Genomic DNA, 17361 nt, shown 5'->3' on the forward strand with positions numbered 1-17361 from the left:
GCTCACACCTGTAATCCCAGAACTTTGGAAGGCTGAGGCGGGCAAATCGCTTGAGGTCAGGAGTTTGAGACCAGCCTGGCCAACATGGTGAAACCCCATTTCTACTAAAAATACAAAAATTAGACAGGTGTGGTGACGCACGCCTGTAACCCCAGCTACTTGGGAGGCTGAGGCAGTAATATCACTTGAACCTGGGAAGTGGAGGTTGCAGTGAGCCAAATTGCACCACTGCACTCCAGCCTGGGTGACAGAGTGAGACTCTGTCTCAACTAATAATAATAATAATAATAATAATAACAGCAGCGATGAGTATGTGTGCCAGAGAGTGTGCAAGGTACTTTGAATGCATGGTCTTGTTGGACCCTGACGAGAACCCTTTGAAGTCAGTGCTGTGGTTGTTCCCATTTTGCAGATGGGGAGACTGAGGTGTGGGGGCATCAGACAACTTGCCCAGCTTTGCACAGGCAGTAAGTGGTGGACATGAACCAGGTGGTCCAGCTCCAGGCCTGGACCCTCAATCCCCAGGCCTTGCTGCCTCTGCCTGGGAAAGGTCCCCACCCCACTTCTGCCCGGGATGTGCTCCCTAACCTCTCCCACCGGGATGCCCACCATCTCTGGGCATTCTGGGTTCAGACAGTGGTGCTTGTCTTGCCCCTCAGGGATCTGTGTCTGCAGCCACCATACCGAGGGCCCATCCTGTGAACGCTGTTTGCCAGGTTTCTATGGCAACCCTTTCGCGGGCCAAGCCGACGACTGCCAGCCCTGTCCCTGCCCTGGCCAGTCGGCCTGTACGACCATCCCAGAGAGCCGGGAGGTGGTGTGTACCCACTGCCCCCCGGGCCAGAGAGGTAAGTGACTCCTGCCCCGGAGCCCTGCCCCGCAGAGGGCCAAGCCCCGGCACTGTGACTATGCCCTGGGCTCCAGGGTTAGGGCCCTGGGTTTAGGGTGTGGCAGGTGAGGGAGAGCCCAGCTTACGGGCAGCAGGCATGACCTCTGAGGACACGGAATCCCTCAGCCCCATAGCCAGAGCCCCAGGCTGCCGCACATTGCCAGCAGAATTTGGGCCATTGAGAATTTGGGCTATTTGAAAATACCCGTATCTGGTCCCTGGCCCCTTAGAGCCTGGGTTAGTGATAGCTGAACAAGTTCCCTGGGTGATTCTGTTACACAGCTAAGGTGGAAAACCTCGATTAAACTTCTAGCCTTTAAAAAATGTCATCAGGTAGGTAATGTGCAAAGCAGAACCACCTACGCCCACCCTTGTTCCCAGGCTCCTTGTATTCTTTCCTGCTCTGGACTCAGACATCCTCGACTCTGATTTTTTTTAAAAAGCAGCTTTATTGAGATACTATTCATATACCTGACAGTTCACCCATTTAACGCATACAATTCGGCTGGGTGTGGTGGCTCATGCCTGTAATCTCAGCACTTTGGGAAGCCAAGGTGGGCACATCACTTCCGTCCAGGAGTTCAAGACCAGCCTGGGCAACATAGTGAGACTCCCATCTCTAAAAAAAACACAAAAATTAGCTGGGTGTGGTGGCATGCACCTGTGGTCCCAGATACTCTGGAGGCTGAGGTGGGAGGATGGTTTGAGCCCGGGAGGCGGAGGCTGCAGTGTGCCGAGATTTCACCACTGCACTCCAGCCTGGGTGACAGAGCCAGACCCTATATCCAAAAAAAATTTTTTTTTAAATAAAGTACAGGCCGGGCATGGTGACTCATGCCTGTAATCCCAGCACTTTGGGAGGCTGAAGCGGGTGGATCACAAGGTCAGGAGTTTGAGACCATCCTGGCTAACACGGTGAAACCCGTCTCTACTAAAAATACGAAAAATTAGCCAGGCGTGGTGGCGGGCGCCTGTAGTCCCAGTTACTCGGGAGGCTGAGGCAGGAGAATCGCATGAACCCAGGAGGCGGAGGTTGCAGTGAGCCAAGATCGCGCCACTGCACTCCAGCCGGGGCAACAAGAGTGAAACTCTGTCTCAAAAAATAAAATAAAGTATAATTCAATGACTTTTGACATGTTACAATAGTAATTTTTATTATGGTAAAATATATATAACGTAAAATTTGCCATTTTAACCATTTCTAAGTGCATAACTCAGTGTCAGGAAGTACAATTTGCAATGCTGTGCAGCTGTCACTCATCCATCTCTAGAACTTTATCATCATCCCAGACAGAAACCGTACCCATCAAATGTGTTGTTGAGGCCAGGCGCAGTGGCTCATGCCTGTAATCTCAGCACTTTGCGAGGCTGAGGCGGGCGGATCACCTGCGGTCCGGAGTCTGAGACTAGCCTGGCCAACGTGGCAAAACCTCGTCTCTACTAAAAATACAAAAATTAGCCAGGAGCGGTGGCAGGCACCTGTAATCCCAGCTACTCGGGAGGCTGAGATAGGAGAATTGCTTGAACCCAGGAGGCGGAGTTTGCAGTGAGCCAAGAGCGTGCCACTGCACTCCAGCCTGGGTGACAGAGCAAGACTCCATCTCAAAAAAATTAAAAAAAAAAAAAAAGGATTGTTGAATAGCCCTTCCTCCCTCCAGCCCCTGATAACAGCTGTTCTCCTCTCTGTCTCTATGAATTTGACTGCTCCCAGTATTCCATTTAAACGGAACCATACAGTATTTGTTCTTTTGGATCTGGCTTGTTTCATGCAGTGTAATGTTTTTAAGATTCCTAGACATCTGATTTTGCTTTTGGTACGTGTGGCTGCATTAAATCAATTTGTCAAATGCCATGTGCTTTCACTGGGACTGTTCTGAAAGCAGCTCTCTGGCAGCCAACAGCCAACAGGGCAGGGCAGATGGCTCCAGAGCCGGGAGCTCAAGAACCGAGGGATGGAGATTGCACTGCGGGACCCTGCACCCCACTGGCCGCCATGCTGTCCCTCCATTCTCGTTATCTCCCTTACATTTTCTAGCTCCCGACTGTGGCTCCCCTGGCCTGCAGACATGCACGAGGCCCACCCAGTGAGAGTGGACAGTTAGAGAAGCTCAGGTGGACCCAGGCTGAGACATACTTGAGGGAGGATTTCAGGGGAGCAGGCAGTGCTGTGTGCAGAGGGAACCACCCTTGGGAGGGAGGGACACCTGGAGTGGACTTTAGACCTGGGACCTTCTGCCAGTGCCCTTCTTATCCACACCAGTGTCCTCTGGGCCCCGGGAGGGCCTAGCACACTGAGAGCTCACCTGGACATCTGAGTCAGGGTTGACCGGGGTCAAGTCCTGATGCTCACTTGTCCTGGGAAGACTCCTGCCTGCCATCCTGGCCCCTTGCAGCCCCTCCCAGGACTTCCAGAGCTGCCTCCTGCCCTATGAGCTGTCCTCACCTGGTTCCAGGTGAATGGCCACTTAACCATGGGGCTCACTCATCATCATCAGTTTCAATCTCCCCCTTTCCTGTCTAATTTTATTTCTATTTTAGAATCCACAAGGCAGGTGCTAGCCTCGACCTTGAATTCTGTTCCAGTTTGTCTTTTCCTTTCCGTTCCGTTCCGCCTTTTCCTTTTCAGGGTTGCCCTTAGCACTATTAACTTTTTTTTCTCTGGAAACAGAGTCTCACTCTGTCCCCCAGGCTGGAGTGCGGTGGCATGATCTCAGCTCACTGCAACCTCCACCTCCCAGGTTCAAGCGATTCTCCTGCCTCAGCCTCCCGAGTAGCTAGGATTACAGGCATGCACCACCATGCCCGGCTAATGTTTGTATTTTTAGTAGAGATGGGATTTTGCCATGTTGACCAGGCTGGTTTCAAACTCCTGGCCTCAAGTGATCCACTCACCTCAGCCTCCCAAAGTGCTGTGATTATAGGCATGAACCACCACGCCCAGCCAGTACCATTAACTTCATTTCAACAGACCGATGACTTTTGAGGACACAAGGAGCTCACAACTATTCTTCACAATGGCAGCAGCTATTTTTTAATTATAAAATTAGTACATACTCTTGACTGACTTAGTAACTTCATAAAAAATAAAAATAAATGAAAATAGAAATAAATGTACATGGCCGGGCACAGTGGCTCACGCCTGTAATCCCAGCACTTTGGGAGGCTGAGGCGGGCAGATCACAAGGTCAGGAGATCGAGACCATCCTGGCTAACACGGTGAAACCCCATCTCTAGTAAAAATACAAAAAATTAGCCGGGCGAGGTGGCGGGCGCCTGTAGTCCCAGCTACGCGGGAGGCTGAGGCAGGAGAATGGCGTGAACCCCGGGGGGCGGAGCCTGCAGTGAGCCGAGATCGCGCCACTGCACTCCAGCCTGGGTGAAAGAGCGAGACTCCGTCTCCAAAAAAAAAAAAAAAAGAAATGTACATACTCATTGTAATGTTGGAGCAGTGTAAAAATGTCAAGAGGAACATGAAAAAAACATGTGAGCAGCCGGGCGTGGTGGCTTACACCTGTAATCCCAGCACTTTGGGAGGCTGAGCCAAGGCAGGCGGATCACCTGAGGTCAGGAGTTCCAGACCAGCATGGCCAACATGACAAGAACCCGTCTCTAGTGAAAATACAAAAATTAGCTGGGTGTGGTGGTGCACGCCTGTAATCCCAGATACTCGCGAGGCTGAAACAGGAGAATCACTTGAACCCAGTAGGTGGGGCTTGCGGTGAGCCGAGATGGTGCCATTGCACTCCAGCCTGGGCAACAGAACAAGACTCCATCTAAAAAAAAAAAAAAAAAAAAGAAAAGGAAAGAAAAAATCATGTAAGCAAGGCAGCATTCTTGTCACCTCCAGGGGACCATGGCTATTATTTGGGCCTGACACTGGTTTCATGTAGATATAGGCAGAGAGATGGGCATGTTTACAAAGAGTGGCTGACACCATGTGAAGCACTTGGAACAAGTATGTTCTTTTATGCTCCGTCTATGTCCAGAGTAGACCTCTAGAACCACCCTCCAAAAGCCCCCTCGCACAGCATGTCTTCTGCAGCTCACAGGTAACCTGGAGGCTGGAAGATGAGCCAGAAAGCCCAGGTCAAACCCAGAAAGCAGGACAGGAGTCTGCAATGCACAGTCTAGAGGAAGTTCAGAAAACATGAGAAACAGAAAAGGTAAAGGGGCCAGGGATTGCAAAGGAAAATGCACCCAGCTAAGAGGGGGATGAGGAAAAGGACGAGGAGAAGCAGATGAATGACATTGGATGGTGACAATGAAGAGGGTGAGGAAGAAGAGAGTGATCAAGACAATAGTGATGAAGAAAATGAAGATAATGATCAAAATGATGACAATGAGGTGATGATAAAGATAAGGTGACGATGACAGTTGTGCCAGTGCAGCGGGAATGTGGACCTCAATGCTGTAGGCAACTGTGACCCGTGTCTGGCCACTGCCTGCACTGGCTACACACCACCACACGTGATCACGGGTGATGATGAGGATAATGGTCAAGAAGGTGATGTTGATGAAGATAATGGTCAAGATGACAATGGTGATGAAGGTGATGATGATGAGAATAATGGTCAAGATGATGATGATGGAGGAAGGTGATGATGAGAAGGATGAGGTTAGTGGTCAAGATGATGATGAAGATGATGGTCAGGATGATGATGAAGGTCAGGCACAGTGGCACATGCCTGTAATCCCAGAACTTTGCGAGGCCTGAGGTCAGGAGTTCGAGACCAGCAGGGCCAATGTGGCGAAACCCCATCTCTACTAATAATACAAATAAATTAGCCAGGCATGGTGGCACACACCTGTAGTCCCAGCTACTTGGGAGGCTGAGGCAGGAGAATCTCTTGAACCCCAGAGGCAGAGGTTGCAGTGAGCCGAAATTGCGCCCCTGCACTCCAGCCTGGGTGACAGGACGAGACTGCATCTCAAAAAAATAAAAATAGCCGGTTGTGGTGGCTCACGCCTGTAATTCCAGCACTTTGGGAGGCCAAGGCGGGCAGATCACTTAAGTCCAGAAGTTTGAGACTAGCTGGGCCAACATGGTGAAACCCCGTCTCTACTAAAAATACAAAAATTAGCCAAGCATGGTGGCGGGTGCCTGTAATCCCATCTACTAGGGAGGCTGAGGCAGGAGAATTGCTTGAACCCAGGAGGCAGAGGTTGCAGTGAGCCGAGATCGTACCACACTACACTCCAGCCTGGGTGATAGAGTGAGACTCCATCTCAATAATAATAATAATAATAATAATATAAGGATGATGATGAAGAAGGTCATGGTGATTGAGGTGCTGCTGGGGATAGTGGTGATGGTGAAGATAATGGTGACGATGATGATGAGGGTGTGAGGACAGATATGTGATGATAGCCACCACTCCTGAGTGCTTACTACATGTCAGGCTGGATGTTAAGCGCTTTTCACAAATTATGTCACTGAATCCTCCCCACAGTCCTGTGGGGAGCTGCCATTGTTGTCCCCGCTTTAGAGATGAGGAACCTGAGCTCCTAGAGGCGCAGTGGCTTGCTCAGGACCACACAGCTGTGGGCAGCCACTGGGGGCCGGTCCCAGGTCCTCCTGCCCAAGCCCGTGCTGCTCCGGGGAAGGTGGAGGGACGCTTGCTCTGCTTCACACCCACCCTCATCCCTGGTGGGTCCAGCCAGCTGTGTTCCCCACACGTGCTCCCTCTACACACAGGGCGGCGCTGTGAGGTCTGTGATGATGGCTTTTTTGGGGACCCGCTGGGGCTCTTTGGGCACCCCCAGCCCTGCCACCAGTGCCAGTGTAGCGGGAACGTGGACCCCAATGCCGTGGGCAACTGTGACCCCCTGTCTGGCCACTGCCTGCGCTGCCTGCACAACACCACGGGTGACCACTGTGAGCACTGTCAGGAAGGCTTCTACGGGAGCGCCCTGGCCCCTCGACCCGCAGACAAATGCATGCGTGAGTACCTACCTCCAGACCCCAGGGTGGCACATGGTGGGCCCCTTCTCTTCTGCCCTGGCTCAGGGCCCAGAAGGGGTGGCTGAGGAACCCACCAGAACCAGCTGGCTCCTCTGCAAGGCTGTCCAGCCTCAGGCAGGTCACTTCCCTTCCTGTCTCCATGTCCAGAAAGCACAAGGGTTTGCCCCTCTCCCAGGTCTCTTTCAGCCGGGAGATCTTATAAACTCTGATCCGAAGCCTGGATTGTCTAGTGCTTACCTCCCACTCTGCAGTCAGCACGTATGGCTGACCCGGTGATCGCCCTGCGCCGGGTCTCCATGGCCATGCCTCCCCTCATCACCTCAGTTAACACTCAGCCCCTGGGAGGCTCCCAGAGCCCTGCAGGAGGGAAGCTCAGCCTTTGCTCCACACTGATGTGCTTGGAGCCCTTTCCCACGCAGCAGCTGCCGGCTCCTGCTCACTCTCGCTTTGTGGAACCCCTGCAGGAAACACCGCTCTGGCCCAGAGTGAGATGCTCCCCTGGCAGTGGCCAGGAGAACAGGGTCACGGGACCCAGAGCCATGGGTGCAGGGCTGTGCCTGTGACCCTCGCCCAAGTCTCTGGCCCTCTGCAGCCTGCCAGGGCTCAGGGCAGGCTCAGAAGGATTGTCTGTTACCATGACCGTCCTGGGCTGTCCCTCTAAGGATATAGTCAATGGGCTGAGGCTTGAGCTTGGCCCTGGAGCCTTTTTCCAGCAGTGGCGTCTGAATCTGGGCTGAATGTGCCGTATCATCTCTGGAGGCTCCCCCATCTCCTCTGCCTCTGTTGGACCCCCAAAGTTGGAACAGACAATCTGCATTGTTCCCAACACCCCTTCCTGCTCCTGCCCCCAGCTTGCAGCTGTCACCCACAGGGCTCGGTCAGTGAGCAGATGCCCTGCGACCCAGTGACAGGCCAATGCTCCTGCCTGCCTCATGTGACTGCACGGGACTGCAGCCGCTGCTACCCTGGCTTCTTCGACCTCCAGCCTGGGAGGGGCTGCCGGAGGTAGGTAGGGTGAGACTGCCGGTGCCCTGGGGACCTCTCCAGGAGGGAAGAAGGCATCGGGCAGCCCCCAGGGAGGGGCCTGGTTTGGAAGGTGTTGTCCTAGGCCCACTGCCAGGCACATTGTGCCCTTTGCCGAAGGGGAGCAAAGGGATGGACTCTTGGCATCCGACTCATGCTCCTGCCAGCCCAGGATGCAGGCCAAGAGCAGCCCTAAAGGGTGTCCAGGCAGGCAGGTGGCCGGTTTGGTCTCTGATTCCCTTCTCAGTGACACTCTCCCTGGGTGGCCTTTTGGCCACAGTAGCACCTTAGACAAGTGTTCTTAGGGAACAGGAGGACTCCAGGGAAACACCAAGTGGAGCAAACAGGTTTCTTCCTTGCAGGACTTCTCAGAGCTCTTACTATGCTGATTGCATCATGACTTTCCAACAGAGGGGTATAGTCTCCCCGAGACACGTTTGTCCCCATAGCCTTATTTTATCTTCTTTTCTCCCTGAGCATCCTGGGAAACTTGTGCTTTCCAGAGCACAGCTGGGGAAGCTGTGCCATGCACCGAGAGGAGATGGGGTCTTGTCAGCAGAGGGCTGTGATCTGAGGCCCCAGCCAGCTGCAGCCGGCAGAGGCTGGGCCAGGAGTGGCCCTGAGCTTGCCTCAGACCCAGTTCCTTCCCTGATCACAGCTGCAAGTGTCACCCACTGGGCTCCCAGGAGGACCAGTGCCATCCCAAGACTGGACAGTGCACCTGCCGCCCAGGTGTCACAGGCCAGGCCTGTGACAGGTGCCAGCTGGGTTTCTTCGGCTTCTCCATCAAGGGCTGCCGGGGTAAGGAGGCTGGGTCCTTCCCGGGCTGCCCTGAGGGTGGGGCCCGAGGGTCTCTGGGCAGAGATGACTGATGGGGAAAATGGGCGCAGCAGGAAAGGATCGTCAGACATGGGACAGGGTCCCGAGAGCAGCCGGAAGCATGGAGCGAGTTGCTCCCGTGGCAGTGGCCGGGACAGCAGAGTCACATGACCCAGAGCAGTGGGTGCAGGGCTGTGCTTGTGACCCTCGCCCAAGTCTCTGGCCCTCTGCAGCCTGCCAGTGTCCTCATGCCGGCCAGGAATGTAGTCCCAGACGCGCTGTTAAGTGCCTGTGTGCCTGGGGCCATCATGTCACTCTCTGGGCCTCAGTTTCCTCACCTGTAGAGTTGGGCTGCATTGGCAGTTCCTAAACCTGGCTGGTCCTCAGATCCCGAGGGAACATTGGAATAAGCCAGGCTCTGTGCCACCTTCAACCTTCTGAATCAGAATCTCCAGGGAAGGGCCCAGGAATGTTTTTGATGCTGCCTAGGGCATTCTGGGAACACCCAGAACCCAGCACGCACTGCCCCTGGCCCCTCTAAACCCAGCACGCACTGCCCCTGGCCCCTCTAAACCCAGCACGCACTGCCCCTGGCCCCTCTAGCCTGCAGGTGCTCCCCACTGGGCGCTGCCTCGGCCCAGTGCCACGAGAACGGCACATGCGTGTGCAGGCCTGGCTTCGAGGGCTACAAATGTGACCGCTGCCACGACAACTTCTTCCTCACGGCAGACGGCACACACTGCCAGCAATGTCCGTCCTGCTACGCCCTGGTGAAGGAGGAGGTGAGTCGGCCCAGACCCACTCACCTTTCCATTCATTCTGTATTCCCAGCAAGTGCCAGCTCTATGCCGGGCACCAGGAACTGCCTGCTTACCCCCAGTGCTCAGGCTTTGCAAGCCCACCACCTACCTTCTCCCTGTGCCCACCCAGCTTCAGGCCTGTTCCAGCCTGGCTCGACCCTCACCTCGGCCCTTCCCCTGCTCTAGGTGGATGGGGGAAATGTGACTCTTGTCACCTGCCTTTCCCCACCACGCCAGGCTGGGGTCTCACTCTCTCAGGTTCGGTGGGGATGAGACCACAGATGACCCCTTGGTAAAGAGGGTTAACAGGAGGTGATTCTGAGTGGGAAGGTGGCTGGTGCAGAAGTCCGGAGTTCAAGCTCTAGGGTTAACCCATTGGGGTTCCCCTCCCCCAACTCCATTCATTGTCATGTGTCTGGGCAGGCAACAGCCTTGGTAAGCCTCTGTCTCTTTCGTACTCCAGACTGGAGATAGTTCAGGCCTGCAATCCTTTTCTAGAAACCAGTGGGGCCAGCTTTCAGAATGTGTGGCATTGTAGAAAGATAAGATGGCATACACTGAAGGCCGGGTGCTGTGGCTCACGCCTGTAATCCCAGCACTTTGGGAGGCTGAGGCGGGCAGATCGTGAGGTCAGGAGTTTGAGACCAGCCTGGACAACATGGTGAAACCCTGTCTCTACTAAAAATACAAAAATTCGCCGGGTGGGGTGGCGCGCACCTGTAATCCCAGCTACTCGGGAGGCTGAGGCAGGAGAATTGCTTGAACCCAGGAGGCGGAGGTCGCAGGGAGCCAAGATCATGACTGCACTGCACTCCAGCCTGGGTGACAGAGCAAGACTCTGTCTAAAAAAAAAAAGATGCATGCTGTGCTGAATATCACATAATCCCCCACTGTGAATGGGCAGCCCCCATAGTCAAGCCCAGTGATATTTATGCAGGAAAACAGACGACTATTTCCACGAAGTGGGTAAATGAAGACCACAAGTAGCCTTTTTCAGAACAGGTTTATTTCAGGTAAGGTTTTGCTCTCGAGTGAGGAATGGAATGCCTTGTGGCTTTTCAGAACATTTTGGACTTGGGAATGGAGGACAGGGCCCAGGACCTGTGCCTGCCACTTCACTTAGAGCGGTGACAGGAGGAATCAAGCTGGGACATGGCAGGCATTTGTGCTGAGACTGGCTCCTAGGAAGTGTTCTGTAAATGCAGTTATTGTTTGTCTGATGAAAAGATGGAGCTAGGGTATGTTCATAGCACATTCAGCCAGTGTCCATAGTGTGCTTTCTCCATGTGGCGTCCTGGGAACACAGCGAACAGGACAGGCAGAAATCCTCGTGGGGCATCCCTCCCCATCCCTTCCTCCCCACCTTCCGAGGTAGGACAGCAGTGTGGTCAGCGGTGTCGGCAGGTGCCGTGAGGATGGGAGGGGAAGGGACAGCTACCATGGGGTGGGCAGGATTGGCTCTCAGAGGTGTGGCATACCCTTAGCGCTGAGGCCCAGGGGAGGATTTGGAGAAGGGAACCCCCAGGGAGAGTGGCAGGGTAGAAGCCAGCGGGAGTGTCTGGGCAGGACCTCCATGCCACCAGCCTCATACACCTTTTCTTCCTGTCCTCTCCAGGCAGCCAAGCTGAAGGCCAGACTGACTTTGACGGAGGGGTGGCTCCAAGGGTCCGACTGTGGCAGTCCCTGGGGACCACTAGACATTCTGCTGGGAGAGGCCCCAAGGGGGGACGTCTACCAGGGCCATCACCTGCTTCCAGGTACAGCAGGAGCGCAGAGCGGGAGGGTGGGAGGCAAGGGGAGGCCCCCAGCGCCTGCAGTCTGGTGTCGTTGGATGCTTTGGGGGCCCTCCCAAAACAGCCCTGTTGCCATGGGCCTTTACTTCCCTAGCCCACCTGTAACTTTATTAATATCAGTCCTTGTCACCATGCCTCTGCCCTACTCAGACTCTAAGCTCAGTGAGGATGGGGCTGGGCTCATTCATTTATTCACTCCCTCCACAGGGGTGTCATGAGGCGCTGCTTCAGAGGCTGGACTGGGAGGGTCTTGCTGTCTTGATTCTTGGCCGTTTTGCTCTGCCATAGGCCAGCACGGTGCTCAGCACATAGAAAATCTTAATAAATGAGTAAATAAGACAAAAGAAGGAGGGCCAGGTGTGGTGGCTCGTTCCTGTAATCCCAGCACTTTGGGAGCCAAGACAGGAGGATTGCCTGAGCCCAGGAGTTTGAGATCAGTCCGGGCAACACAGCAAGACCTTGTTTCTATGAATGGAAGCAGGGAGGGAGGGAGGACCTGGAAATGGCGCTGAAATGGATTGGATTACTTTGTGAAGTTTTATATGTGTAAGTGCTACACTCCTTTAGCAGCCAGACAGAGGCGAGCTGAGAACCTGTTAGCAGGACTCACTGTGGAAATAGGGGCTATCAGATACCGTGTCTTAAAATGCCCACATGTGAGCCACATTGTGAATCAGAGCTGATTTGAAGGGTCCAGAATTGCTTGTGTGGCTCCAGAAGGCCTGGGTCTCTCCCGGTCCCTGTGTATGACTGACTTGCTGTGGGTAGGACCTCGGGTCATGTTTGCCTTCTCTGGGCCTCGGCCTGCACCTGGAAAATGGGGGTACTCTGCCTTTGGGACTACCTGTTGGTGCTCAGGGCTGCTGATGCCTGGGGAATGGAGGCCACAGAAGGGGACCCCTGGGGGTGGGGGCTTTTGTGTGACATCTCCACCACTTTGTGACCCCTGGGCTGTGGGCTTCCCATAGGGGCTCGGGAAGCCTTCCTGGAGCAGATGATGAGCCTCGAGGGTGCTGTCAAGGCCGCCCGGGAGCAGCTGCAGAGGCTGAACAAGGGTGCCCGCTGTGCCCAGGCCGGATCCCAGAAGACCTGCACCCAGCTGGCAGACCTGGAGGCAGTGCTGGAGTCCTCGGAAGAGGAGATTCTGCATGCAGCTGCCATTCTCGCGTCTCTGGTATCCCAGGGGACCCCCCTACCCGAACACACCAAACCTGGGCATTGGTCCCTGCCCCAGCCCTCCCATTGACCTGGTGACCTTGGGTATGACTCCCCACTTTGGGAGGCTTAATTTCATCTGCAAAGTGGGGATCACACAGTGCCTCCTCCTGGATTCAGCGAGAGGATGTTTGCAAAGGGCGAGGCATGTTCCGAGGAGACTGAATGCGCAGTAAGTGGTGGGCTGCATCCTTATTGGTGTTTCTGCATCCTAGGACTCCGCTCACTGAATGCCGATGTTGTGGCCAGCTTTGTGCATTTATAAAACGACGGGTGCCATCCAGTTCTGCCTCACAATTGGACCAGATGTGGCCCTTACCCTTTGGCGATGGGCCATCAGTTTCCTCCTCTTCCTCTTCTTTCTACAGGAGATTCCTCAGGAAGGTCCCAGTCAGCCGACCAAATGGAGCCACCTGGCCACAGAGGCCCGTGCCCTCGCCAGGAGGTGAGTCCCAAGACATGGTGAGCTTACACCTGGCCCTTCTCCTGGGGGTTCCAGGGTCAGAGTCAGCCCCACAGGTGCCCCCACCCAGAAGTTGGGATCAGATATTACAAGAGCTGTCTGATGGAGGCAGTGTCACCAGCATGGGGAGGGGCAGGCAAGGTGGGTATAAGTCCAGAGATGTTAGGGGCAAAGCTTGGTGGACTGAAGGCGTCAGAGAGCATCTGCCGGCTTTCTCTTTGTGAGAGTTGTGTAATATACAAGTTATTATATTGGGGGTATAGTTCACACTATACAGAGGCCTTTGCCCACTGCACTCCAGCCTGGGCAATAGAGTGAGACTCTGTCTCACTGTATAATTCAGTGGTTTCCCTATATTCTCAGGGTTGCAAAGCCATCACCACAACCAGTTTTAGGATTTTCATCATCCCAAAAACAAACCCCTGGACCCATCTGCCATCAGCCCCCGTTTCTCCTTACCTCCCCAGCCCCTGGAACCACTATTCTACTTTCTGTCTCTATAGATATGCCTATTCTGGGTGTTTCATAGAAGTGGAATCAGACAATGTGTTGCCTTTTACAACTGGCTGCTTTGCACAGTGTTTTCTTTTTTTTCTTTTCTTTTCTTTTTTTTTTTTTTTTTTTTGAGACGGAGTCTCGCTCTGTCCCCCAGGCTGGAGTGCAGTGGCGCTATCTCGGCTCACTGCAAGCTCCGCCTCCCGGGTTCGTGCCATTCTCCTGCCTCAGCCTCCCAAGTAGCTAGGACTACAGGCGCCTGCCAACATGCCCAGCTAATTTTTTTGTATTTTTAGTAGAGATGGGGGTTTCACTGTGTTAGCCAGGATGATCTCGATCTCCTGACCCCGTGATCCACCTGTCTCGGCCTCCCAAAGTGCTGGGATTACAGGCGTGAGCCACCGCGCCCGGCCAGCACAGTGTTTTCAAGGCTCATCCACATTGTGGCATGGGTGAGTGCTTCACTCCTCTTACAGTTGAATAATATCCCATTGTATGGAAATGCCACATGTTGTTTATCCGTCTTCTGTTAACAGACACTTGGGTTGTTTCATCCACTGCCTTTAAGGAGCAGCTTAAGGCTGGGTGCGGTGGCTCACGCCTGTAATCCCAGCACTTTGGGAGGCTGAGACAGGTGGATCACTAGAGGTCAGGAGTTCAATACCAGCCTGGCCAACATGGTAAAACCCCGTCTCCACTGAAAGTACATAAATTAGCCAGGCATGGTGGCACACACCTATAATTCCAGCTATTTGGGAGGCTGAGGCAGGAGAATCGCTTGAACCTGGGAGGTGGAGGTTGCAGTGAGCTGAGATTACACCACTGCACTCCAGCCTGGGCAATAGAATGAGACTCCATCTCAAAGAAAAAAAAAAAAAAAAAGACGCAGCTTAAGATCCTAAAAACACAGGATCTGTGACAATTTTCTCCTTTAGCTACGCTCCAGGGACCTTAGACTTATTTTACAGATGAGAAAACATTCAGAGAAGTTAAGGAATTTCCTAAGGACACACAGCTTGGAAGCAATAAAGCCAGGATTCAAACCCAGGCTGTCGTGACCACTCTCTTCTATGCTGTCTATATTGGGGTGACTGTACAATTTATTGTCCAAACTGAGATGCTTTCACGTGTGATAAAAGGTCCTATTGGCCAGGCACAGTGGCTCACACCTGTATTCCCAGCACTTTGGGAGGCTGAGGCATGAGGATCGTTTGAGGCAAGGAGTTACAGACCAGCTTGGGCAAGATGGTGAAACCCCCATCGCTACAAAAATAATTTTAAAAATTAGCCGGGCATGGTGGCACACACCTGTAGTCCTAGCTACTTGGAAGGCTGAGGCGAGAGGATCCCTTGAGCCTAGGAGTTTGAGGTTGCAGTGAGCTGTGATGGCACCACTGCACTCCAACCTGGACAACGGTGTAAGACTCCATCTCTTAAAAAGAAAAAAATAAGGCCCTGGCTGGGTGCAGTGGCTCACGCCTGTAATCCCAGCACTTTGGGAGGCCGAGGTGGGTGGATCGCCTGAGGACAGGAGGTCGAGACCAGCCTGGCCAATGTGGTGAGACCCTGTCTCTACTAAAATACAAAAATTAACTGGTGCACACTTGTAATCCCAGCTACTCGGGAGGCTGAGGTAGGAGAATCACTTGAGCCCAGGAGGGGAGGTTGCAGTGAGCTGAGATCACACCACTGCACTCTAGCCTGGGCAATAGAGTGAGACTCTGTCTCAAAAAAAAAAAAAAAAAGTCCTATTAATCCTTATGTCAGGACAACAGACACAAACTCTATGTCTCTGTGTAACAGAAACAGGGCATGGAGTACCTTTCCTGTCAGTCCTTGAAGTGCGTAACACAGAAAGGTGGAAAAGGCGTACCTGTCTTTGTGGCTGTCCTCTGTTAGGGGCAGCAGGAGGCCTGTGTAGTAGGGGGCGTAGTTCTGATCCTGGGCCCCTTCCCTGCGAGCCCTTGGTAATGCTCAGGTGGGTGTCCTCACACAGCCACAGAGACACCGCCACCAAGATCGCAGCCACTGCTTGGAGGGCCCTGCTCGCCTCCAACACCAGCTACGCGCTTCTCTGGAATCTGCTGGAGGGAAGGGTGGCCCTAGAGACCCAGCGGGACCTGGAGGACAGGTGAGGCCTCCCCAGGTGTGGGTAGAAACTTTGGGGTTGGCCTCCTGGAGCCAACAGGGCCTAGCCAAAGGCTGCTGGTTCCAGAGCCAGCTCCCTTGAGTCCTGACGTTCTTTGTCGTTGGTGTCTTGGGTCTGCATCCTCCTCGGAGTGGGGCCACAGGGTCTTGGGCCCACTCGGTGGTGAGTCGCAGTAACCCACTTTTGCCTGGGGGGATGCAACTCAGCCTCTTCAAGAGAAGAGACAAGAACTGGAACCCAGAGCAACAGATCCCTTGCTCTCCTTCTGCCGCATTCCCTGACCCCCCTGGCCCCGGCGCCCCAGCCCAGGGCAGCTCCTCTGAGCTCCTCTGAGGCACCAGCTTCTTTCTCTGCCTCTGCAGACAGACGGCTCTGCTTTTCTGCTTTGGTGACCCCTTCTGTCCCTCTCAGTTTAAAGGTTCATGGAGACTCCCCAGCATCTTGCTTGAGCCCCTTGACATTCCTAAACGAGACATTCCTAAACGAGAATGGGATTGGCTCCGCTTAGATCAGGTGTCCAGCCCTGAGCCAGTCACCATGGCTGGGGGAGGTCACATGACCCACCCCAGGGGCAGAGCGATGGCTCTCTAAGGAGGAGTAAGGGATGGAAGGGAAGCCAGAGGTCTCCACCCCAGCAATGCCCTTGTCGAGGAAGAATGGGTGGGACAGGATGTGGACAGCTGGTCAGGACAGAAAACCCATCCTAGCTGATTGGTTATAGACCACAGGCCTGTCAGGGCAAAAGGGCCCACAGGGATTCTGCAGCCCAGGGCTCTCCATTCATCAGTGGTGAGGACGTGCCCAAGGTCTCTGGAAAGGGCATGGCCGAGCCAGGACCAGGACCGGGGCCGCTGTGCTCCCCACTTCACCGGGCATTTTCCTCTTCACCATTCACCCAGAAGAGCCAAACATTTGCAAACATGTGATTCTTGAGTGGAAACCAAGCAGAGCCCTTTCAGCAAAGTGTGGCTGAGCTGAATGATGCAGAAACAAGAATGTGGCCCTTTCACAGCCCGTCTGGCTCATCTGAAAGCTTCAGAGAAGCAGCCACTTTCCGAGGCAGCTGTACCTACCCCGCAGAGGGCTATTCTGCCTGGGAAGTTGGCAGAGGCCTTTGCAAACCAGTGGCTCCAGCCTGGGGCCCAGACAGGGATGGGGAGGGCTAGTTCTGCACCCAGCTCCGTGGCCTCTGCTTCCTCCCAGGTACCAGGAGGTCCAGGCGGCCCAGAAAGCACTGAGGACGGCTGTGGCAGAGGTGCTGCCTGAAGCGGAAAGCGTGTTGGCCACCGTGCAGCAAGTTGGCGCAGATACAGCCCCGTACCTGGCCTTGCTGGCTTCCCCGGGAGCTCTGGTCAGCTCAGTTGTCTCAGAGCTCCGTGTGGGGTCGGGAGGATCTATTATAGAAGCTGGAGGCTGGGCACGGTGGCTCACGCCTGTAATCGCAGCACTTTGGGAGGCCGAGGCGGGTGGATCACCTGAGGTCAGGAGTTTGAGACCACCTGGGCCAACGTAGTGAAACCTAGTCTCTACTAAAAATACAAAAATTAGCCAGGTGTGGTGGTGCGTGCCTGTAACCCCAGCTACTGGAGAGGCTAAGGCAGAAGAATCACTTGAACCTGGGAGGCAGAGGCTGCAGTGAGCCAAGATTGCACCTCTGCACTCCAGCCTGGGCGACAGAGCAAGACTCCATCTCAAAAAAAAAAAAAAAAAAAAAAAAAAAAAAAAAAAAACTATTATAGCAGCTGGAGAAACC

At 54.1% G+C, this 17361-nt stretch overlaps 1 protein-coding gene across 3 annotated transcripts in view, besides 1 other annotated feature; it reads left to right on the top strand.

Annotated features, from left to right (window-relative positions):
* The window catches only part of LAMC3 (laminin subunit gamma 3), an 85300-nt gene that overhangs the window by 51202 nt on the left and 16737 nt on the right, over positions 1-17361 (top strand). For all 3 annotated transcript variants that reach the window (XM_011518121.2, NM_006059.4, XM_006716921.3), the window contains exons 13-22: positions 660-848; positions 6585-6830; positions 7703-7856; positions 8533-8675; positions 9297-9475; positions 11109-11250; positions 12255-12460; positions 12870-12946; positions 15456-15590; positions 16812-16959. In XM_011518121.2, coding sequence (XP_011516423.1) covers positions 660-848; positions 6585-6830; positions 7703-7856; positions 8533-8675; positions 9297-9475; positions 11109-11250; positions 12255-12460; positions 12870-12946; positions 15456-15590; positions 16812-16959 — 1619 coding nt within the window. The remainder of the gene's footprint in view (positions 1-659; positions 849-6584; positions 6831-7702; positions 7857-8532; positions 8676-9296; positions 9476-11108; positions 11251-12254; positions 12461-12869; positions 12947-15455; positions 15591-16811; positions 16960-17361) is intronic.
* Positions 8583-9092: an enhancer, noted in NCBI's record as "H3K27ac-H3K4me1 hESC enhancer chr9:133944345-133944854 (GRCh37/hg19 assembly coordinates)". NCBI's record gives its function as "activates a minimal SCP1, AML or CMV promoter by ChIP-STARR-seq in primed H9 embryonic stem cells {active_cell/tissue: H9 hESC(primed)}" and the evidence as "EXISTENCE:reporter gene assay evidence [ECO:0000049][PMID:30033119]".

The sequence above is a fragment of the Homo sapiens genome, chromosome 9 (assembly GCF_000001405.40).
Source record: "Homo sapiens chromosome 9, GRCh38.p14 Primary Assembly".
NCBI classification, from domain to species: Eukaryota; Metazoa; Chordata; class Mammalia; order Primates; family Hominidae; genus Homo; species Homo sapiens.